Source organism: Homo sapiens, chromosome 2, assembly GCF_000001405.40.
Source record: "Homo sapiens chromosome 2, GRCh38.p14 Primary Assembly".
NCBI lineage: Eukaryota > Metazoa > Chordata > Mammalia > Primates > Hominidae > Homo > Homo sapiens.
This window is the reverse complement of record NC_000002.12, coordinates 207094990-207119191: the sequence shown is the minus strand read 5'-3', so window position 1 is coordinate 207119191 and position 24202 is coordinate 207094990. Positions and strand designations below refer to the sequence as shown.

Genomic DNA, 24202 nt, shown 5'->3' with positions numbered 1-24202 from the left:
AAGGGAGATGTGAAGAAGCCATGTTCTCTGAACGTGCTGCTTGGAGGACTCTCTCTATAGACTGAAGTTGCTGTCACCTAAACCATGGGTGGTGATAAGCATTCTCTAGATTTTGTCCCGAACAATATAACAGGATACGTTTCAGGTGGAAAAGTAATACAAGTGTGCAATTTGCTTAGCATTTTACATTTTCTTTGGGGCCCATCTTATTGAATCAGAAAGTGGCACAATCTGTAAGTTTAATCAGAATTTAGGGAAATAGTTTATTTTCAAATGAAAAGGTGGCTAAAAATACTACAAACAAAAAGACCAGTGTAGCATTCAAAAGGCAAACAGAAGTGTTATGTCACACATGTAATGAAAGGCCTTTAAAGTTTGAAATACAGTTTATTTTACTTATTCAACAAATACATATAAAGCACTTGCTATGTCCCAGACATTGTTCTAAATGTTTTACAAATATTAACCCTTTTAATCCTTATACTAACCCAATGACATAGGTACCATCTTATTTTATAGATGAGGAAAATGAGACCCAGAGAAGTCAAGTAATTTGCCTGGCGTCACACAGCTCATCATAGATGGTTGGGCAAGGATTTGCACCAAACAGTATTGCTCCAGTGGGAGCTCTCTTAACTTCCAAGCTTACTAATAAAGGGGAAACAAGTCAAATGAATTTTTTAAAAGTAACCTGTTATTAAGAGGAAATTAAAGACGTATAGTTTAAATGCAAATGGACGATGAAAACTAAATATCCTCTCTAAATAGGTGAGAATTAGGAGGGTCCTTAAACATATTGCCTCATCAGGTGACTGAGAAGCAGTACAAGGAAATTACAAAGAAATGGTCTTCCATTTCCAGGCCTATTATCGTTACTGATAAAGCTACTATTTTATGGTTGTTACTATTTTCACTTTTTTTAATGTTAGTGTTAAAGAGAGACATGCCAGTCTCAGTTCACGCATTAAAATGACAAATGTTAATATTCTGTCCCTATCAAATAAGAAAGGTCAGTATTATCACAACATGGGAGAAACTGAGGAACCACAACAACAAAAAAGTAACTTGGTTCAGGCTATGCAAGTCCCTGTTGTTAGAAATTAAATTGGACCCATGTCTCCTGACCTATAGGCTTACATCCTACTCAGTAGATTGTTTTGCTTCTTATTTACTGTATGTGTTCTTCAGTCTTTCTGCGAACAGGTATTAAGTGCCCATAGATGTCAGGCACTGTACCATGGAGTGACCAGCAAAGGAGAACAGGGTGGTCCATTTGGGAAGGAGTGCTGAAGGGTGGTGATGGGGCAGTAAATGAAAGCAGGGGCTTGCAGCAGCAGTCAGAGGCAGCATGGAAGATTTGGAGATAACAAGTCGCTTCTCTCCTTCTGGACAGAGTGTTTATTGATGCTGTTCATCTTTTTAAATGATGTCAATGTGATAGTATAGTAATTTATATAAATAGAAGCCCTAATTCAAGGTCAGGCATATCAGCAGGATAAAATTTAATACCTCAGTGTGGAACTGTAGGGGGTTCATCAACCACTTTCAACCTGCTAGTGCCATAGATAAGAATTCTTTGAATTTATACAATAGCAACTGAAATGGGGCGATTTTAAGACATTAAAGGGCCTTTAATATGCCGAGACACATGGCTGCTAATGAAGTTTATCCATGTGTTGAGGCAGAAACTCATTAAACCCCGATTATGGGATGGAAACAAGAATAAGGGTTAAATGTTCAGTTCACAAGGTGGAGAGAGCTGAATAGGAGGGTTTGATAATTTGGATTTAGCATATTCAAGAGCTTAAGAGAAGTTTGAAAAGAAAGGGTATGAAATGAGGTGGTGAAAAACAATCGCTGGGAGAATTTTCTGATTCAGTAAAATCTTAAAACTTTACCACATGGTAATTTAGCAATATGATAACTCCTAACATTTATGAAGATAAATTAATGTAAACATATATTGGGAAGCATGGCCTAAACTCAGCATATACACAGCAAGCACATTTATTTTATCATTATACTATGATAATAAATATAGGCTTTGTGGGACGCCTATTCCAGATGTCCTTTTAATGGATAATTGATAGTCACAAAGCAAATAAGTATGTTAAAATAAGAATCGAGGAGAAAGAAAAGCATGAAATTAATGAGTATTTCATCATAAACAATATTTTCGAACACCCACTGTACATACACTAGTCCCTCTTTATTGCCGAGGACCTCGCTTTTTGACACAAAAGCCTGAAATATGGTTTCATAAAATCATTATATTTGGAACTTGATCTCAGAATATAGTTTGGATGGGGGATGTGGGGGAACTGGGAGGAAGGAGAAGAGAAAAGAGGAATCTCATTTCAGAAAAGGCAGTGAAAGTAATAGAATTTTATAAATTCAAAGGTTTCAAGGGTGGGCGAGTTCTGTTTGATAGAGAAGAAAAGAAGAGGGTCATGAGAAGTCTGTGTAAATGAAAAAATGACATTGAGAAGGCCAAGTGTAAACTTTTAGAAAAACTGTTCCTTTTAATAAATTGATAATGTACAGAGGCTGTTTCTATTATAATATGAGTGTTAATTACCGTCATGATCATGGTTATCCTGTACATATAATATAGGAAGGTTCAAGGAAAGCTATGTGGAGCTTTGTAAAGAGTGAAGGCTAAGATGACGTTATAAGAATTGATGGTAGGCAGGGATTTTCTATGTTTCCTGAAGTTGAAATAATAATGTAGTGATTGTGTTTGAATTAGAAAGAAATGGAGTTTAAGAAACTCACGTGTTAATTTTTTTAAACAAATTGGTTTTGAATGGTCCTCTTTTTAAAAAAATTAAAATATAAGGACAGATGAAAAATAATTGTAAGGTGACCTGTCTTTCTTTGAAAAATATTCAGCTTGAATGTAGTAGAAATTACAGTTGAAACCTTGATAACGGATCCTCAGGAAACAAACTTCATATAAGGAAATTAGTTCTGATGAGTAAATGCAGCTGTTTGGGAATCTGGTCCACCAGGGGCAGAATGTGTCAGATGACACTAAGCTCTGCTGCACGACTCCGGTACCGAATGGAGAACGCCTAACCCTTTCCAGGCAGGCAGTTTCTATTTGTCTTCACCCTGATGGAGGCAAACTGGATAGCCCTGGCCAAACTTGTTTTCTAAAATATGGGGTTTTTTTCTTCTGCATTCCCTACCTAAGTACCTAATATCTGATCCCTTCCTGTACTCTGTCACTTTCTGCCCTGCAGCTTTCCTCTATCCTTCACAGCAGAAAGGATCTGGTAGCAATACACTGTAGACTGTTGTGGTTGGTACACTGTAGACTGTTGTGGTCAGTGGATTATACGTCCATCCACCAGTGTATAACACTTTAATCTTCTATTATTAGTTTTTTAACCTTCAATTAGGGGAAACTTAATAGAATTTCAGTAGTCTGTAAACAGGTAGGGAGACATGATGGGGGAGTGTTGGGAACTGGGATGGCATTCCCCCACTTTACTCCAGCACCATCCCATCTACCCCTCCTCTGCTACTGGATTTTCTACATTTTCTAAAAGTGGCTTCCTTTCAACAATTTGTTAATGTATTGACATGACATTATTAAGCTAAATGTTGGTCGAGGCAAGATCACTTAAAATAATTAAAAGTTGGTGACTTTTTAATGTGCTGGTTATTCAGCCAACCACTGATGGAGTTACTTCTCACTCCTGCAGTGTCCCCATGTTCAGTCACCAATGGGTGGTGAAATAATGGAGGTGAAAGCACTTCAATTATTTAAGGATGTCTGCAATGAGAATAAGCTTAGCATGCTTTGTTCCATATTTCTGTTCACCCTACCTTCTCCTTCAACATGTATGTTTATGGAGCTAGGTGAGCTGGGGACTGACCCGGGATTGGACCCCATAATCTTGTAGGGGAGGAAAGATCAGAATGCCCCATTGCTGGTTCCTTATGGAGCCTCAGTCCAGCTTTGTCCTAAACCAAACTTCCTTGGCATACCCCCCCTTTTTTTTTTTGCAACTGACATCTTTTTTTTTCTTCCCTTCAAAAGTTATCTGCATTCATGTAAGACCCCTTTTATTTTGTTTGCAAAATAAAATACATTTACAGATTAAAACTCCTTTTATATTCTAAACTACTCATCTGGTATTATAAAACATATACTTAGGCTTATTTTGTTGTTTCTGCCTTTAAAATGTATCCGTTTCCATTACTATAACATGTATGGAATTCAGTAAAGTGGTACATATTGTTTTCAGGCAAATAATGTAAAAAGATGTTTTAATCCCAACTTTGTTGGGTCTGCATAGTTTTATCTGTTTCACTAGATGAGCTAAAAATGATAAAAGCTATCAATCATTTTGTTGCAGGCAGGAAACCAGAAGCCATCCTTAGCTGAGAAAGAACTTGACCTCCATGGTAGAGTATTGCCTAGTTAGGTGTCTTAGGGTATCTAATATCTTTCTCTGGAGACCTTGCTATTTTCCTAGCAGGGATGTTTTGTAATAAGGACTATAGTTTGCTCTAATATTGAAGCCAATGTTAAATGAGAGTGGTTCTAGGAGTCTAGCAGTTGCCCTAAAAAATGCAGGATTCTATCTGTGTCTTAATGAATAGAACCAAGAAAAAGCTTGACTCTGGTACATATTTGAGTGTAGAAGAGCACCAAGATATGGTAGGAAATATTTTAGAATAACTGTGCAGTAGTCCTGTTTAAAAGGTTTCTGTCTTCATTTCGTGTGTTTATGTAGTTTAATGTCATCTCATGGAATTCGTTGCTTGGTTATGAACTTATCACATGGTGTTTGGAATCCCCTTACTATGGGATATGCAACATCCTTCACCTGTACTGAACTTCTGTTGCAGAAAGGAAATAATGATCCCTCATATTGAATTCTCAATTGGTCATGAGCCTGTTGAAACTAGTATTGGTATTTTAAAAAGAGCAACAAAAGATACATCTTCCTTCCTTGATATAGGTAATAAGACATTTTATGTTCCTAGTGTTCGGGAGAGAATGTCAGAAAATCAATATGAATAAATTCAAGTACACAGAGGATTCACCCTATTTGAAAATGTAATGTGTGGCAAAATGACGGTATGTATTAAATTTTTTTGTTTCACTTGCACGTAAATATTAGCGTTTAGAAAAGGTATCATAGGCTACTTAAAAATTTAGGCAGAGGGCAATTTGCTGGCTTTTTGTTTTTTTCATTCTTTGTTGTTGTTTAGTGTCTCAAGGCTTACAACTAAACTGAATTTGAAACTAAATACTGTCATTACAGAAGATTTTTCCTGAGTTCCTCCAATTTCTCTGGGGATAAAATAATGGTCGCTGGAAGCAGTGGAGAAACAGTAATTAGGGCAAATAGTAATACTGTGCATGATTGAGGAAAATGTGAGAAGGGGAGGGGGAAAATGCAACAGACAGACTTGTACATCTTGTTACTAGGAAACCACATCAGCATTAAATACAGTGTGCTAATTGGCTATCCTGTTTCTTCCTGGGTACCAGCCTGGGCCTGCTACACAGCTGTTTCTGCTCTTTCTGGTTGCTAGGTAACTGCATCATTTCCCCCCCCCCCCCACCCCCCATTCCACTTTGTATTCTGGAGGGTAATTGGCTACTTCTGCTCCTGGTGTTGCTGCTGGGTACCAGTCTGGGCCTGCTGCTCTGCTGTTTTCCAGAGGGATTTAGTCAGTGGGGAGGGGAGGAAAAGGGAGAGGAAGATATGCTGGCAATTAATGGAGCATAAGTGCAAATTCTACACAATGTCTGGCACCTGCGGCCCCTCATCCTGCCTTCTCAACTAAATCCTTTAGCTATGGAAACACATTAAAGTCTTCAAATCTTTCTTTCTCGGCATACTTTATAAATATAGTTTAAAGGAAACAAGACATTTGAAGACATAACTCAAATGACAGCTTTGGTCTTCAGGAAAAAAAAACTGGCAAAATATTACATACCTATATTTTGATATGAGTAGTAATAGAATTTGTGCAGATATTAAAAATACTTTATAACAAGACAGCATCTTTAACATCTTAAGGATAGTGCCACCTTATTTCTTAAATGGACCAAATTATTGTGTAGCCATTCTTCTTGATATCAGAGTATAAAGTAGGAAATAGAATGGACTAAACGCATTATGGGATTTTCCCGATTGTTTTATTATGAAGGAGTAAAGGGAGGCTTGTAGACCCTTGACTTTCCTATTATGGGTTTTATTCCTTTGATGTGCACAGCACATGCCCTGGTGCTTTTCACTGGGACATAGCATTTACATGGCAATAACACATTTTGCACCATAGCTGCTTTCCTCATGGCAAATGAACAAATGTGATGCAAAATCTAAAATCAATTTTGTGATTTAAAAAACAGGTAAAAAGGTAATTACTTTATATATTGTTGTCCTCTCTTGTTGAAGTAGAAGTTTCCGTTTCATCATTATTGAAATTCTCACTGGAAGTGCGACAAGGAAGATTCTTTAGAAGTGAAGTGATGCTCCAAGGAGATTTCACTTTAAATGGTTGAGAAAGTGTATGTAAATTGGGGCCCCTTGAAGAGGCAGCTTTATTCCCCTGGGAAGGAGCTGTTTTATTGAGAAAACTCAGAGCATGTTGTGTGACTGTGCACAGAAATAGTTAGCAAAGGCAACTCTTATTTGACACTAATGGCTGTTACTGGTTTCCCATACTAATGAGATCCACCATACCCTATCACAATTGAAGCAGGAGGAGGCCTAGGCTGAGCTACAAGCCCTTCCACCATAAGATAAATTCAGGCTTTATGGAATCATTTCTACTTAAAGTACCCTTAGCATAGGCAGAAGGCCTCCAGCCAGGCTAGGTGATCGCGAGAAGATCGCAGTGTTAACACCTGTCTAAAGGAAACCAGCTAGCCGTTAGTAGTGCTCAAATTGCAAAAGAAAATCTTGTTATCAAAGAAAAACTTACAGAGAGGGTATAATATTATTTCTGCTATCTCTGTTAAAAGGACCAGTTGTTAATCACTCAAAAGCATTTGCCCATTAAATGAATTAGCCATTTACTTATGAAGAACCATCAGAAGTCAGAATATCCCTTTGTCACTTGACAAGTTTTATATTCTGACTTTGAGAGGGAGGTGGTTTTGTTTGAGTATTTCATCTTTGTTGACAGCAGACTGTCAGAATAACAACTTTGCAAGTATATTATGCATAGTCCCTATTTGACTTAAGCAGGATACAGATTGAAAAGTTCAAAGAAGTCTGGGGAGTTTGTCTTACCCAGCCCTCTTCACCGGTTGATTGGATGTGGTTATACGGCCTCACTGTGGTCTGGCAAGACCCTGGAAACCCAGGGCAGGGGTCTTTGAAGACTGAAGGTGGTCATGGTTATTAACCCAGTGATAAATGAACATCAGTGCATACTTCCGAGGCTTCCTCTCATCGTACTCTTCTTGGAGAGCAGATCTTTTTTCTTTTGATGTCTCCATGTTTAAAACAATAGTGAGAGTGCAGGCATACAAGCAAGCATGCTTTGGGGAATGAAGAAAGGAGGTATTCCATGGAGTTGCTTCAACCCCTGGTTCTCCTCAGTCCTGAAAACCTGCTTTGCTAATTCTCATGGCCACACAAAACTGCTAGCTTTGACATCAAGCAAACCGGTTGACAGAATTGGAAAGGACGAATCTGATGGCTGCTAGTCCCCCAGCAGGGCTGCTGCTAAGCCACAATATGCTTTTGTGTGAATTAGAAAAAGTACCCTTTGCGTGGGGCAGCTTCCCTGTGCTTGAGGAGCAGAGCCAGATTCAGCCCCTCTCAGCCTGTAGCTGGACACCCTGTGCTCAAAACCTTATGTGGCCTGTGCGCACTGGGAGAGCATTCCACACAGATGGGCCTTCCCTGAACTTTTAAGAACTTCTGAGGCTAAGAAGGGCATAGCAGGAATGGGAGAGTCACACAATGGTTCAAGGAGGGTATCGGGACATCCTGTCAATGTCTGAAGAGGCCATTATGTGTGACAGCAAATCTTTTGGTCCAGCCACTCTCCCAAAATGTGAGATCATTAGTTGCCTAATGTGGTGGTTCTCAACCAGGGGAGATTTTTTCCCTCAGGGAACATTTAGCAATGTCTGGAGACATTTTTCATGGTCATATGTGGGGTTGGGGGTATGCTACTGGCATCTGGGAAGTAGAGGGCAGGGATACTGCTAAGTATCCTACAATGCCCAGGACAACTTCCACAGCAAAGGATCATGTGGGCCCAAGGGTCAACAGTGCCAAGGTTGAGAAACCCTGGCCTAATGCAACCTTAGCTGTCTTCTTCTCTGTAGGTTGCTCTGATCCACTTGCAAAACGTTTCCTAATCCTTTTAAGATGACCTACCCACCAGGTCTTGCCTTCTTCCCTTTTATGATCTTTAACAATATTGACTAAATGGAAATATTGCATTATTTATTATTTCTGTCAGGATTTAGATGATGTGCCGCTTTTCCCCTTATGGTAAGAAAGAAATCTCCCTACCTCCACTAAATGCTTAACCTTCTAGATTGAAGATTCGTGATTGTGACTCTTCCTGAGCCTCATGCCCTCCCCTTTTGCAGAAGGCTCCTGACCTGTAATAATTTGAGATTTTGCTGAGGCAGAGGTCTGATCACATCAGCTGCCAGGCTGGTACGTGGGAGGGAGGTGCTTTGCCAGGAAATGGGCCTAGCTGACCACGCACTGAAGAGCCACACCATCATATGGTATTGTCATTCTCCCCCTGGGTACAGTGGCCTTGCTGAAATGTAACAGTTGCTTCCTCGTTACCAAAAAGAAGATTAACTGTTAGTGAAGAAATAAGAGTGACGTGCTTTCCGTGGGAAAATAAAACTTTTATTGGTAAAACTGTATATTGCGCTGGCATTTGCTGCCTCAGTACATTTCCTACTATTCACTGTTCTGGTTCGCACCAGCACCATGAGGAGCATACTGGAAGCTTTCTGAGTTCTTAGGGAGAAAGGTGCTATTTCAGGTAAAAGGATTTAAATTGCCTTATCTAATGGACACATACTTTATGTCTGCATTTTGTCAGGAGCTGTGAATTATGCATTGGCCCTTTCAGCTACATTCACGTGCATAGAAAATAACATTGTCAGACGTGTCATCCCCAGATACAATGGACAATATGCTATTATAATCGTATGGCATTGTCCTTGCTGTTTGGAGATAATACTGCTGACTTTATTCCTCTCATACATGTGAATGTGGCTGTAGGGAGCACGTGACATCTGTGGCTTTTACATGTATTAGCTTATCCCTTGCCACTTGAAGAGATTGCCATTAGTGAGCTGGCCTTGTGGGGTCATGCTAAGTGCCATGTTTTGGATCACAGTTGTTATCGGACCTTAGTTTTAGATCCAGTAGGGAATTAGTAATATTATCTTGATGGCCTGAAGATGCAGTGGGTTACTTAGTCAGCTTCCCAGAGCAGATGTGCTAAAGAAAGGGTAAGCTGAGGCGTTCCTACTCAGATCAGCTTTGGGAGTAAGAAGGCAATTGGGTACCAAGCCTGGGAATGGCTGCTTCTATGTTAGTGCATTACCCAAGTAAGCAATAATAATATCACTTGTATTGATCTTTACAGTTGCCAAGTGTTTCACATACATCCTTCCATTTAACCTTCACTTACCGATGAGGTAAGTCTTCTCATTATACCCATTGTACAAATAAGGGAACTGAGGCTGAAAGAATCATTTTTCAAAGATTTCACTGCTGAACCATCACAGAGCCTGCCCTACTCTGTTTTTCCTTTAGAGATCAGTTATTTCTTTTGGGGGCCTAAGTTGAAACAATATAAATGAATTCAGTTTTGTTTATGGTTCAGAAAAATAAATGGCTATTTGTTGTTATTTTACTTGTTCAGTATAACTACTAATTCAGAATAGCTAAGAAAACTGAGTGATTATCTTGTATATTCCTACATTCTGTCTATTTTGGTTGAACTTAAGAATCCTTGATCTTAGTTGGTTTTCCCCTATTTTAAGAAAGAAAGCTGGTTTTGAAGATGCAAACAAACGCAAGGTATTGATTCTTGAAGTGGTATCTCAGTACTACTGCATTTGCATATTTTAGATAATTCTTGATGAGAAATAGCAAATAGAAACTTTTCTCTGAACCCCTTGAAAGAATGCATCTTAGCAATCCTCTTTATTACTAAGCTGGAAAACCCAAATGGAGATGCCTTAAAGAATTCAAAGGAATCTATGGATGGGTGGATCTTGGTGTATGAGTTGTATGCTCCTCTCAGTTACACCAGAGCTTTGCTAGGTGAGGTTGAAGAAATGATTTATGTGCCTTTATTTTTGTTTGTATGATAAGTGTGGAATTCAGGATAATTTTATTTTATCTTTGTTTTTGCCCAGTTGAGGATATTTATAATGGGTTAGAAGTCGTAAGAATAAAAACCCTTGGTAAATACAGGAATTGTAAATCTATTCATTGGCAAAGATCCCAAACTCAGGTTATGATTTTGCTTGTTATGTGCAGCAGTCTCTCCTCTGAATTCAGAAAAGCACACAGTGAAGAAGAATAGCTGCTTTCTAGCATTCTGCCAAAAGGATCTACAGGAACCTCAGAGTGATGGGCATTTATATTATATCCAGAGATCTGAGGAAAGAAAAGGTATTAACACCAAAAGACAAATTCCTGGAAGGCTGAAGGAATAACACACATTACCCCTGAGGGCTCCACTCTTTTGAGGATTGTTTGTCTGTAGATATTTTTGTGTGTGATCCTGTGTTCCTGTACATCTTTGTATTTTCAAACTTCCCCTTTTTATTTCATTCTACCTGCCGTGGAAATAATCTTAATAAGTCGTTAGAATTGGCGGGGCCCCCAACCCAATTTGATAATAGCCTTTTCCTTGCTGATAATTGGCTACTAAGCATTTAGAATGCTTTCAAATCCACCTGTGTATCTTTCTCCCCCCTCTCATGGTTAGATGTTAAAGTTTTTGTTTTTGTTTTTATTTTTGTTTTTGTGGTTTTCCTGGTGTGCACCTTATCCAAAAAGAATAGTTAATGAGCAAAGCCAGAAAGAATCCTTTGCAGCCAGGGAAAACTTTTCATACATCCTTCCCACTCCTGTCATTGTATGAGCTACAAGGACCATAGGTACAAAGCTTGTGGGATCAATTACCACAAGCTCACCGTTAAGCATTTTTTTAAAAATCTGTTGCGAGAAGAGTAAAGCAATAATTAAAATTAACTGAACAGCTTTTGCTCTATTGAGGCGTTAAATCTTTGTGTAAACACAATCACGTTGTGCAAACATAGGTCTTTTTAGTTGGGTGATTTAGACAGCGAACCCACTGAAGTTTTGAGGTCTCTGGGTCAAGGGTCCGTTTTGACACGGTTTGAGAGGTCACCTGCTCATTTGTGTCTGTGTTCTGCTGCAGAGAGAACTGTGAGCTGGTATGGTTCCTTGCCCACCGCAGCACAAAGAAGAGCCGGCTGGCATTTGGCAGATAGCGGTCTGTGACGAGGGGGAAGGAAATTGCACACAAAGCAAGACGGCTGCACACAGGAGCCGGTGGGGAGTGCTTAGGAACCTCTGGGGCCCAGGCAATGATGCGGCTTGAAGGTGGAGAAAACAGCAGTTATAAAATATAAATGTGTTTATTATTACACTGGGCCTATGCTATATAATTTTACACACACTCATATTTGTGATTTACGGCCGCAGCTCCATATGGAGGAGAAGCTTGCTAATTTACCCAAATTGATAGGGATGCCGCTGAAGATCATCAGATTGGTAGGAGCAGTAGCTGAGAAAAAGTGGCTCCTAAAACAAAAAAGATTGGGGTGGGGGAACTGCTGTGTCAGAGGCGTCCTTTGTTCATTTATTTTGATAAGCAGAGCTTGGCTTTAATTATTCATGATAATGCTTGCCCTGGAAGGAGCAGGCCTCCGATGCCACAGCAGCTGTGGGGTGCTGTTTGGTTCTCTGTGCAGTTAACACCAAAACAACCCACCTAGTCTTTCTTGAGATTTGTCATGCTTTCACCTGTGAGAGGTGAGATGCCCTGAAGTTTTGTTTACACCCGATATCCCTTCCTACGGGGCAGGTATTGACGTGGCTGGAGTGGAAGAGAAAGCCTGAATGATAACAGCCATTTCGTGAAATCCTTACAAGGTAGGTGGTGATTTTCCCATCTTAGGCATGAGAACGTGGAAGCCTAGAAGATCCCAAGAGTAGACATGCCCAGCTTATAAGTGACCAAGCTGGCTTTTGAGTCTGGGTCTGACTCCAAAGCCTGTCCCCTGCAGCATTATGCTGGCATTTCCTAGAGAAAAGGCCAAGAAAGGGACAGTGGAGCAGACCCCACCCTTCTTCCACCCCACTCCATCCCACTCTCTGTGCTTTCAGCCTATTTCCGGGTCTTAGCATCCATTACCATCATTTCCGACAGCTTTCCAAAGTGTTTCTTGACTTGGCAAAATCTTGAGGCACTTCTTCTGGGAGCTCTTCAGAAGGAAAGCACTTTGGAACAGCATGCACGAGTTCCAAAGTCCCCAGAGCATGTATGATTCACGCTTCTTGCAGGGGAACTTCATGGAGAAAGGCTGTTGTGACCCTAGGATACTTGATTGACCATTTTTTTTCGTAGATGCATAAATACCAGACGATGAATGCTGAATGGCCCATCCACTCAGCTCATAGCAAAACCCTGGGAGGCATCTGTGATAGATGTCCTTTCAATCAATTTTTTTTCATCTCATGGGCACTGCTTTCTAAATATGTTTTACATTTGTTTGCTTTTCTCCATCTCTGCTGCAATAAGCAGAGTCATTTGTGTTTCAGGCACTATCTTCTTTCTCCTTGGCAGTTGTAGAACCTCGTAGAAGTTGTAGAACTCTCCCCACATTGGCTCATTGCCTTTGGCAGCCCATTCTCCATTTTGTAGCTAGAGTAATGTTTTAAAGTTCAATTCTGATCATGTTATGCCCCCGTTTAAAAGCTCACAATGGCTGCCATTGTTCTTAAAGTACAAATTCTTGAACATGATCTCTTAAGACCACTTTCCAATAGAAATGTAATGTGAGCCACATATATAATTTTATATTTTCTAGCATGCACATTTAAAAAGTAATTAATCATACTAATTAGTTCTAATACTGTATTTTATTTAGCTCAAAATATCCAAAACATTCTCATTTCAACATGTAAATAATTGATAAACAATTATTAATGAGCTGTTTTACATTTCCTTATCTCTTTCTTCTATTGGAAAGCCTTCAAAATCTGGTGCGTATTTTACACTTAGAGCACATTCAGTTCAGAGTGCTCACATTTTGGGTACTCAGTAGCCACCTGTGCTAGGGTCTAGGAGACTGGATCGTGCAGGTCTGTTTAAGTCCTTTCACAGTCTGGCCACTGCCTGTTCTCTCAGTCCCTGCAGAGCACACAAACTGATACTCCTCTTTGATCAGCTTCTTGGTGAGGTGTGGGAGAGAATGTAGCAGAGGGATGAGAGGACCTCACCCCTGCTAATGAATTGGAGGAAACAGCCCAACATGGAGCCATCCACATTCTACCCTTCTTCAGGGCTTTCTGGCACAGCAAATAGGATGGACTGTGATGGAAGAAGGGTGGGGTCTTTTGCTTCTGTGTCCCTTTCTTGGCTTCTAGAAAACCCCAGCATGATGCTGCAGGAGAACAGGCTTTGGAGTCAGACCCAGACTTAAAAAGTCATCTCAGCCACTTATTAGCTGGGTGTCTATCCCTGGGCTTCCATGTTCCCCTCCCTAAGATGGAAACATCACCACCTACCTTGCAAGCCTTCTGTGAAATAGCACAGGTAAAGCACCATCGGGCTGCCTGATACATAAAGAACATGCCAGGAACAGTGATGTTATCACCTGGTGTTTCTCCTTCACTCCAGCCCAGTCAGTACCTACCCTTCAGAAAGGGGCGGCAGGTAGAAATGAAGCTTCAGCTCATCTCACACTGAGGTGCGGGTTAAGAATGAAATCCTTGCTTTGCTGTTGGCCTTCGGGGTTTCCATTTTTGGTTTATGTAGAACTTGTTAAGTGACACCGATTTTTTTGAGAAGGTGACGGAATGAAATGAAAATGCTGGTAAAGTTGTTAATATGAGGTATTCTCTGAAAAAAAATTTTTCTACCCACACTAAGTTCTAGTAGTCAGTAGTACCATTCTGTGAGCTGAAAATGAGACCATGGGTTCTAGGGGAGGGTAGATGAGTTGTAGTTCGCACTCCTGGCTTCCTGTCTCAGTAGATTCGATTCCTTTGCTTATTCCTTTTTAAAGAGTTAGAACAGCTATTATATAGGTGCATCTAAATAGTTCTGACATTCTTTCCAGTTGAAACATTTGTTTTATCAGAAAATATTTCCAAAGGGAATATGAGCATTGATTCCACTTTAATTGTTGCTGCTTATATGAAAGGCAGAGTGAGGTAGTGGTTAAGCATGTGAATTCTGAAGGTAAGATGGCCTGAGTTTCAATCTTGACTGTACCACATATAAGTTGGGTGAACTTGGGGAACAGCTTTATTTCTCCAACCCTCTATTTCCTCATCTAGAAAATGGGGAGGGATAATAGCATTAGGGCTATTGAGAGAATTAGAGGACAGAATATACATAAAGCCCTTAGGTTCTGTAGTGCCCAGCATATAGTGAGGGCCCAGTAAATACTAGCCAACAGCTAATTTTACTTGGATTTAAAAAACCCTATCACCCATTGAAGGTGGGTGGAATTGGACCACAAGTCTTGGCTGATGTTGATGATTTGAGGTGTTTTCTCCACAGAGATGCATGTATTGTCTAGTTTGTTTACGTATAACATTTTGTACCTTTCCCCTACACTTAGTTTTCTGCTATATGTGTATCTACACGAGGAAGGAAAATATAGACATTTCATCAGAGATTGATTCTGCCACTCGTATATTCATACATCTAATAGAAAAAGCCACATATATCACAGCAGATGAGATATGAGATGTAGTAAGATATGCACCATATTTTAGTAGTATATGGGCTCTGGGCAGTTTCTCTCCATGTGGTATTGGGTTTGTACTGTTTGGGTAAAACCCTTTGACTTTCTAATCAATGCCACATTTAAGTTGAGGAGTTGGGGCTTGACGTCTTTGATGGTTGAATGAAACACCAGCCTCTGGAGGTGGTCTGCTCCTAACATCTCAAACTGATCTCTAACCATCTTAGCTAGAATCAGGTGATTGCAGGCTCTTTATTCACCAGAAAGGTATATTCAGGTACTGGGTGTTAATAAGACCCACGTTGCATAAAGAAGGATTTTGGGATAAAATGTTTTAATAATTACGCTGCCTGTGTGGTGCTTTGCAGCATATGAAGCATCTGCACAGAAAGCATCTCTCTTCACATTTCACGATAATCCTGCGAGGGCTGTGCTGAAGAAGGGATTAGCTCTATTTTGCAGAGGAGGAAAGTGAGACTTAAAGAGTAGGTAACTTTCCTGAGGGCACATCATAAGTGGTAACAGCTAGGACTAGAGCACAGGTCTCCTGATGGTGAGTTGTGTGTGTGTGTCTGTTTTCCCGTAAACTGTACTTGTACACATGGGGCAACATCTCCAGAACTCTGACAACCTTTCTGGAGAAAAGAAGCGAGATTTCCTTTGTTCATGTATGTTAAGCTTTGAATTAATTAGATCCTAAATGAAGCTTTTGTGACAAAGACCCAAGCTAACAGGAGCTTAAAGATGTAAGATTTCTTTTTTCTCTTTAATATAAAGTCTGCACTGAGAACTGTCAGAAGCCCAAACTCCTTTTGTTCTGTTGGTCACCTATCCCTAGGATTTCCATTCCTGAGGTATTGCTCAGGTCCCTGCAATTCAAGATGGCTGCCACCAGGCCTGCTTTCCAGGAATCTAGTTTTCATGCAGATATTTCGAAAGTGAAAAGGGGAGGGGATGTCCCTACCTTTAAAAGTACAGCTTGATTGGCCGTGATGGCTCACACCTGTAATCCCAGCAGTTTGGGAGGCCAAGACAGGTGGATCACCTGAGGTCAGGAGTTTGAGACCAGCCTGGTCAACATAGTGAAACCCTGTCTCTACTAAAAATACAAAAATTAGCTGGGTGTGGTGGCGGGCACCTGTAATCCCAGCTACTCAGGAGGCTGAGGCAGGAGAATCACTTGAACCAGGGAGGGGAGGTTGCGGTGAGCTAAGATCACGCCACTGCACTCCAACCTGGGTGACAGAGCGAGACTCTGTCTCAAAAATAAATAAATAAAAGTACAGCTTGACATTGCACTTGCCACTGCCACTTACGTCTCATCAGCCAGAACTTGGTCATATGTCAACAAGCAATTGCAAAGGAGATTGGAAATACAGTCTTTGTTCTGGGTGGCCATAAGCTCAACAAAAACCAAGGGATACTCTTACCTAGGGATAAGGGGAGAATGAATATAGAGGACAACTGGCGGTTGCTGCTATGCTTTTAGTCTTAATAATTCTTTTTAAAAAGCCTTTAATGCAGACATTTTAACAGAAAACTTGAGTTCTGAAATTCTAAATGTATGAAATGGTAAGGGTAACATCCTAGTACATTGTAGTTTGTGGCATATTGCAAGATCAAAATAATTGCATGAAAACTAGGTTTCTGTGGAATGGCTTAAGTTCTGAATGGAAACATAATTTACATTTTGCATTTCATGAGAACATTACATTACTGGAGTAATATGAAGTGACTGGGAAATTAATAACTTAAGCACAAAAGCATATGGAGTCAAATTAACTGCATCTTAATATTTCTTGCACCTCTTTTTCCCCCTTCCAAAGTATAAAGTCACATTACATTGACATTTTCCTCCCAGAATGCCTTCATTCTTCAGTAGAAGAATGAAGAGAAATTATTTTGTAGCTGTGAGTTCAGTACAGACAAAAATTAAGGCTGTTTGAGGTTAGAGGTATATAGGATGACAGATTGTGTGGGGGTGTTTCTACATATGTGGGTGTCAATATGTTTGTGCTGAGTTGTTTGCAGATTGGGGGGGAGGGCAGGGTGTGTGTGTGTGTGTGTGTGTGTGTGTGTGTGAATGTGAATGTAGCTTTCACGGGTGGTTTCAGTCATTGTGTTTTCTTCCCAATGATTCCTATTAGGGAGCAGCAGAAAGAAGATGTAGGAAGATCTAGGTAACTGCTTAAAGGAAGGTATGGAGATGGACCAATAGTATATGGGTATGTTCATTCAGCCAGGTTAATTGAGGGTCTTTGACATGTGTCCAGCATTCTAAGTCTTGGGAATACTAAGGTGAATAAGCCTGGCCTCTGCCCTTAAAGGGACCATTTGGTTTTGTGGAGCTACATAGAATGTAAACAATTTACTCAAACAATATGATAGTCTCTTCTAGAGGAAGTTAGGCGAGCAGAAGAAAGGAGTGCCCAACTCTATCAGAGTCCATCTAGAGCCACTTCCCACAGGACATGCTTTGGAAGTACTAGGACCACACATTGTGCCAGGCCCTGAGGACACAACTATGCACAGATGTGGGGTCTGGCCTCAAGGGAGTCAGTCTCTTGAGGGGATAGTTTGTCATCAAGGTTCCTCAGGGTTTGGCATTACCACCTCTTCAGTCCATTCTTAAGGGTCCTCCTCACATACTTACCCTTGACCTCAGGATGATAAACCACTGTCTCTTATCTCTGGGCCTTTGTGCATGCTGTTCCTTCTCCAGGAAATACTTCTTGCCCTTGTCCTTAGTGTCCTTCAAGTTTCAGGGGGGCTGATCATCTCTGGGACACCTGCTCTAATAGTCTTACCAAGTCTTAGGGATTTTCTGTTTCACATGTCCACATTACACACATCTATCAAACATATTGAGTCTCATGTTCTTTGTATGTATGCATGGTGCTTTCCTAACTGGGAGCTGAGCTCTAACGTGAAGAGCCTTTCCATTTAGCTTTAATCTCTAGCAGTGTCATTGGTTGGCATATATTTGAACCAACAATTAATGCTGGTTGAATCTAACTTGTCACACTGAAGAGACTATTTCTTTCATTGCCGGTGAGTTAGACCAGAAGTCTAAGCATTTGACTTTTCCTGTTTACCCATGGACAGAGATGAAGTGTTTCGGAGATAATGCATGTTAGGGTTTATGAATCTGGAAGGTAAGGTGGTAACAAAACTTTTCGTGCTGTTGGATTTTGATGGTCTGATGTCTCAGTTAGCAAACATTGTATTCAGTGCATGTTACAGTGTGTCTGAGCCTGTGCTAGACTTTGTGCGTGATTACAAAGAGGCCAATGAGAAAGCATCTAGCCCAGTGCCTGGACATACACTAGATATTTAATCAGCATTTATTCCACTGGGGGTATAAGGTGTCCTTGTTTTAAAAGCACTTTTCATTTAATGTGTGTGGGGAGAAGCAGGGCAAGGGATCAAGGCATAAAAAGATAAATATCTACAGGAAATAGTAAATAACTGGCCAAAGAGTGAAAACTTAGATAAGGGTATAGTTTTCTGAGGAGGAGAAATCCTTGCGGATGGGGTGACATGTGGAGAATAGGCACATTCTGAGCAGGGGACATCCCAGCGAGTGAGAAAGGCTTGGGCGGGAGTTGGGGAGCGGGGGCTGTCTAGGGATGTTGGAGACTAGAGGGTTATGTAAGAAGTGATGGGTGATAAGGTAGAAAAATAAGTGACATGGCTTTGTGTACATCTTTTCCTGAGTACATAGGCAGTGGTATGTGAAGAGCGTCTATCCTAGATTATTATGTGTCAAAACAACAAACAAATGAAAATTTTCTTTTGGGGTTACTCTTAGACTTTATATTTGAGTAAGGTACATATTTGGGTTGCTTTAGCTAATGGGGAAATTTAGTCTCTAAAAAAATGTTTAATCATCTTGGAAGAGAATTATGTAGACATATTGATGTTTTAAATCTTCACTGATTTGAAATTTGCCTCTAAAAAGCTCTAAAAAACGGATTAATATCTATTCAACATGAATGGTAGCTGGCCCAGGGAGGGCCCTTCTCTCCATGATCTGGATATAAATTATCTAATTTGGGCTCTTCTTTTTTTTGAGACATGGTCTCGCTCTGTCACCCAGGCTAGAGTGCAGTGGTGCAACCACAGCTTACTGCTTACTGCAGCCTCAGCCTCCCCTGCTCAAGTGATCCTCTCACCTCAGTCTCCCAAGTAGCTGGGACTACAGGCGTGCACCACCATGCCCAGCTAATTTTTTAATTTTTTGTAGAGACAGGGACCTACCACATTGCCTGGGCTGGTCTCAAACTCCTGGGCTCAGGTGATCTGCCTGCTATGGCCTCCCAAAGTGCTGGGATTACAGGTGTGAGCCACCACATCTGATCTCATTTGGGCTTCTTGAAGATTGATAACATTGCCTTTATTTTTTTAAGTTTAGAGAAAATTACCATATGAACTAGTGATATGCTTAAGCTACTTCTCTACCATCTGTATTTATATCATCAAGGAATATCAATTTTTGTTATCATTAGCTTAATTAAAACAAATTTAGGATGCTGAAGCCACTTACTTTATAGCTTCCAGAAGCAGATCTTAGGTGGTTTTTGGATTATCCTTTCTTATGGTTTTTTTTTTAATACCATTGATCTATCTCTTTTCATATATATATATATATATATATCGCATATGTAGCAGAAAGTTAACTTTTATCCAAATAATAAATGGTTTAGGTGTATATTTTCTAAATTTTTGGTTAGCAAAAAAGCAAAATTTAGTGTATCCAGGAAAGTAAATTAGACATTGTCAACTAATGTGATACGTACCAATGGGTGACCACCATGGGTCCCTGATCTGATAAGGCCTAGTTTAGTCTCCCCTCCCCACCTGTCCTGGCCCTCCATGTCTCTGCATTTTCTGTGGTTCACAGACACACAGTCCTCTCACCTGCCCTCAGGCTTTCCAAAAGCCTCCCCAGTAGGGTGTCATGCAGACCTACCCTCCCTCAAAGCTGTGTGCTCTCTGATTATCTTTTTCTTAGTACCACCCTCCTTGCAAGAAAAATGAATTCCTTGGCTATACTCACTAGGAGTTGTACACCTTTTGCCAACCTCTGGAATTGACTGCATTTTTAGGGGAAGTTTCCTTTTCTCTGTTGGTTTACTTCTACAGGGTATACTTCTGATTTAGTGGTATCACTTTCAGAGTGATGCCTTGATATTACCCATGCTTGGAACGTGTTGTTTGGAGTAAAAGTGATTTTTTTTCTCTTCATTCTGAAAATCTTTTAAGGTGATTCAAAAATTAATAGTTTGGGAATAGACACAGTGGCTCATATCTGTAATCTTAGTGCTTTGGGAGGCTGAGGTCGGGGGATCACTTCAGGCCAGGAGTTCAAGACCGGCCTGTGCAGCATTGGGAGGCATCGTCTCTACAAAAAAAAAAAAAAAAAAAAAATTAGCCAAGTGTGGTGGCACCAGAGCCTGTAGTCCCAGCTACTTTGGGAGGCTGAACTCAGGAGTTCAAAGTTGCAGTGAGTTGTGATTGCACCCCTGCACTCCAGTCTGGGCAACAGAGTGAGACTCTGTCTCTAAGGAAAATAATAATAATAATAATAGCTTGGTCATTGTAGTAAGAGTCTGTTCCTGTATACGTTCTCTGCTGTATGGTGATCTTTACATTTGAAAACAAAAAGCAAAGGTTGACCAAAGGTGAGTTTAAAATTGACGTTTTTTAATAATCAAATTTCTATTTAATACATCAAATTGAATTGTGAGAACTTGACTTACAGAGTGATAACATTGCTGCTAAATGGAAAGAAAATGTTCTACAAATGAGTTTCAAACAGATTCACTTGGTGTAGTTGTCATCTTGAAAGGGAAAGATTAATGTTTTAATAACATTTTTCTTCAAATTTAGTATATACCTAGCTTTTAACTTTATTGTAACTGGTAATCACCAAAATATATTTAAATTTCCAAGATGACATTAAGTTTTATTTGGATTTAACTCCAAAAAAGCTGATAAAAATAATTTTTGAAGTTAACCTTGAAAAACAAAAAGAACAAAAACAAAGTAAAATGGACAAAAAAGGCAAGCAAATTAAACTTGTTGCTTAAAAAAAATAATAAATATAGTTTCCCCAAATGATCATGCTTACCTGTTTCAAAACTTGAGAACATACAGCTTCAGGTATAAGTGTTGTTGAGGTCTAAATTCTTAAGTGAGTTTACAGTCTTTTGAAAATTATAGTAATACCTAAACAGTTATGAGTTTTTGTTTTGCCTTGTGTCGGGGTGGTGGGGAGCAGTGGTGTTTGTTGGCTAAACCTCACTCAGCCCACTAGAAACTACTAGAAGACTGCATACATTTTTAATTAAATAAAAAATAATTTTATGGCATTCCTTGGGTTATGAGAAACATGGTACAGTATTTGAAAACACATGTATTGGAATAACAAATTACACATTACAAAAATTCTTTAATTTTCAACAGCTAAATTTGTTTCAGCATCTGGGTTGGTAAGTAATTTTCATGACCAACACAGTCTTCCTCCAACATTTCAAACAAATTCACCAAGAATCTAACACTTTGTCTCAAAAGAAACATTTTAGAAAAAGTTAACAGTTGTTAAAAATGGCACATGACCCCAAAGGATTTCTTTAGTCCCGTGTATTTCCATGGCTGTGCTCCACGGGGCAGGCTGGGCTCCAGTTTGAGTCTTATAGAGAAGCCCTGTGCCTTTGCCCTGGACATACAGGTGACAAAGTTCTCTGTTTCCACATCTCTCTCTGGCTTCCTGTGTGTCTGTAAACTCCCTGTTGATATCACCACTATGAATAGCAACTTTAATAACAAACACCGTTAATAACACTTTTTATTCATTTGGGACTTTGTAACTGACCAGTCACTTTCAGGTACTAGGTTCCATCGAATCTTCATGAGTATAGGGAAGTGGGACAGTTTTTTTTTTTTAATTCCTTCCCCACACAGTTAAGAGCCATAAGTCCCCAAAGAAGTTATTAAATACCTTTACAAGGCCACATTGCTATTATGTGGCAGAGCCAGAACTAGAATAATCTATTTTTTGATGCTGAGTTCATTTTATTTCCCCACTACAGCAATGGTTCTTGAGGTATGGTCTCTGGAGCAGCAGCATCAGCATCAGCTGGGAATTTGTTAGAAATGCAGATTCTTGGGCCCTCCCCTTGTGAATCAGACCTACTGAATCAGAACTTCTCAGGGTGGGGTTCACTAACCTGTGTTTTAAACAAGCCCTTTAGGGAATTCTAATAAGTTTGAGAACCACTGTTGCTAGAGGACTGCTTATGGAAAGAGAGATGGATATAGGGGATGAGAACAATTTAAAGAGAAATATTATTTTGTGTTTCTTAATGGCACTTTTATGGGTCCTATATGTAAATAAGTGTATTATCTGAGCATCTACTGTGTATAACGTTTGTGCTAGCCACTGTGGATAAAGTGGCGAACAAGTCAAATGTGGCCCCTGCCCTCACAAAATTCACATCCTGGCCAGTGAGAGAGGCTCCAAACGTTCTATTAAGTTTGGGGGTGGGGTGGGGATCAGAGAAGAAGGCTTCTTTGAGCCTTTTGGTTTTATGACTGTTTCTGAAAAGCACCAAGCTGCTTCTGCTCCCAGGGCCTTGGTATGTGCTGCTTTTTAAATCTGCAGAGCTTTCTTCCCACTGCACCTGGTTAACTCCTCCTTCGTATCTCAGCTTAAATGTCATTTCTTCAGATTCCTGAACCCATAAACAGAGATGCTAAAAACAGATTCTGATACGCAAGGTCTGAGATGGGAACTCGGAATCTGCATTTTTAATAAGTGCCTCAGGTGATCCTGATGCGATGCAGCAACAGGGAGGAGATCCCTCGAAACAGAGAAGGGCTGCTGTTGGTTGCATTTGGTGAAGCATTCAGGGTCTTGTACACGACAAGGTTGGTAGTAATGAGAATAAAAGCCAGGGGTGGGGAGGAGAGATTCCACAAAGGTGGAGTACTTGGACTTGTTTACTGAGTCCTTCCTCCCCTAGCTTTCTCACAGTTAAAAATAACTCTAAGATTTTGAGCCTGGGAGAGTGCTTCTACCACGGGTTGGAATGTAAAAATGGGAACACTGGGATTCTAGGCTATGGGCTGGACATGGAGAAAAATACGGGAAGGATGAGCTTTTAAGCTTGAGTCGATGGGGTTTCTACGTAGAAAATATATTTTAAGCCAGTGCTGTCCAAAATAGAAATATATGCAAACCACATATGTAACTTTAAATTTTCTAGTAATCTCATTTTTAAAAAAGTTAAATAAAAGGTAAAATTAATTTTAATATGTTTTACCTAAATTAATATATCTAAAATATAATCATTTCAACATAAAATCAATATTTAAACAGTTATTAGTGAGAAATATTTTACATTCTTTTTTAATACTAATTCCTTGAGATCCAGTGTGTATTGTATGTTTCCAGGGTATCTCATGCTAAATTTTCAATGGTGAAAGTTAAATGCAGTTCTACCAAAATAAGAGTGTGAAATATTTTTACACTGCTTCAATTTTTTAATCTGAATTTTAATCAAGGTTAAATTAAAAGTTCAGTTTTTTAGTTACCTCAGCAACATTTCAAGCGCTCGTTGCTATGTGTGGCTACTGGCTACTATATTGAACACAAACACAATTGTTGTCAGCAGTTGCAGTATTCAGTCAAAATCTTTTCTCACCTCTCTCCGTATTCTGAAGTAGGAGCTGTACCTCATTGAGGATATGGTTTAAATTTTGGATTACAGATTTTTGAACAAACATTTTAAGGTGGTGAGGAGTAAACCTAACCCAGGACCAGTTATTGTTTTTTAGTTGTTTTAAGAACAAAAACAGGCCGGGCGTGGTGGCTCACGCCTGTAATCCCAGCACTTTGGGAGGCCGAGGCGGGCGGATCACGAGGTCAGGAGATCAAGACCATCCTGGCTACCACGGTGAAACCCTGTCTCCACTAAAATTACAAAAAAATTAGCTGGACGTGGTGGCTGGAGCCTGTAGTCCCAGCTACTCGGTACTTGGGAGGCTGAGGCAGGAGAATGGCGTGAACCCAGGAGGCGGAGCTTGCAGTGAGCCGAGATCGCGCCACTGCACTCCAGCCTGGGCAACAGAGCGAGACTCCGTCTCAGAAAAAAAAAAAAAAAAAAAAAAAAAGAATAAAAACAAATAGGGCAAATGTTTGCATGCTCTGTAAAG

General features: G+C 40.0%; 1 protein-coding gene and 1 non-coding gene across 17 annotated transcripts in view; both read left to right on the top strand.

The window, feature by feature from the left end:
- Window positions 1-24202, top strand: part of KLF7 (KLF transcription factor 7) — a 99715-nt gene that overhangs the window by 54660 nt on the left and 20853 nt on the right. Inside the window, exons 3-5 of one of the 16 annotated variants that reach the window (XR_923051.3) lie at window positions 5002-5095; window positions 9610-9661; window positions 10512-11035. The exons of 13 other annotated variants lie outside the window; for them this stretch is intronic. Coding sequence is in view for 2 of the 3 variants with exons in the window: in XM_011512075.3 (XP_011510377.1) it covers window positions 5002-5078 (77 nt within the window). In the remaining variant the exon portion in view is untranslated. Of the gene's footprint in view, window positions 1-5001; window positions 8876-9609; window positions 9880-10511; window positions 11036-24202 lie in introns of those variants that run through there. 2 more of the 16 variants (XM_011512075.3, XM_047446150.1) reach the window with 2 other exon arrangements.
- On the top strand, window positions 9119-9205 carry MIR2355 (microRNA 2355). The gene has a single exon (NR_036227.1). It is a non-coding gene; the product is annotated as a microRNA 2355 (primary transcript).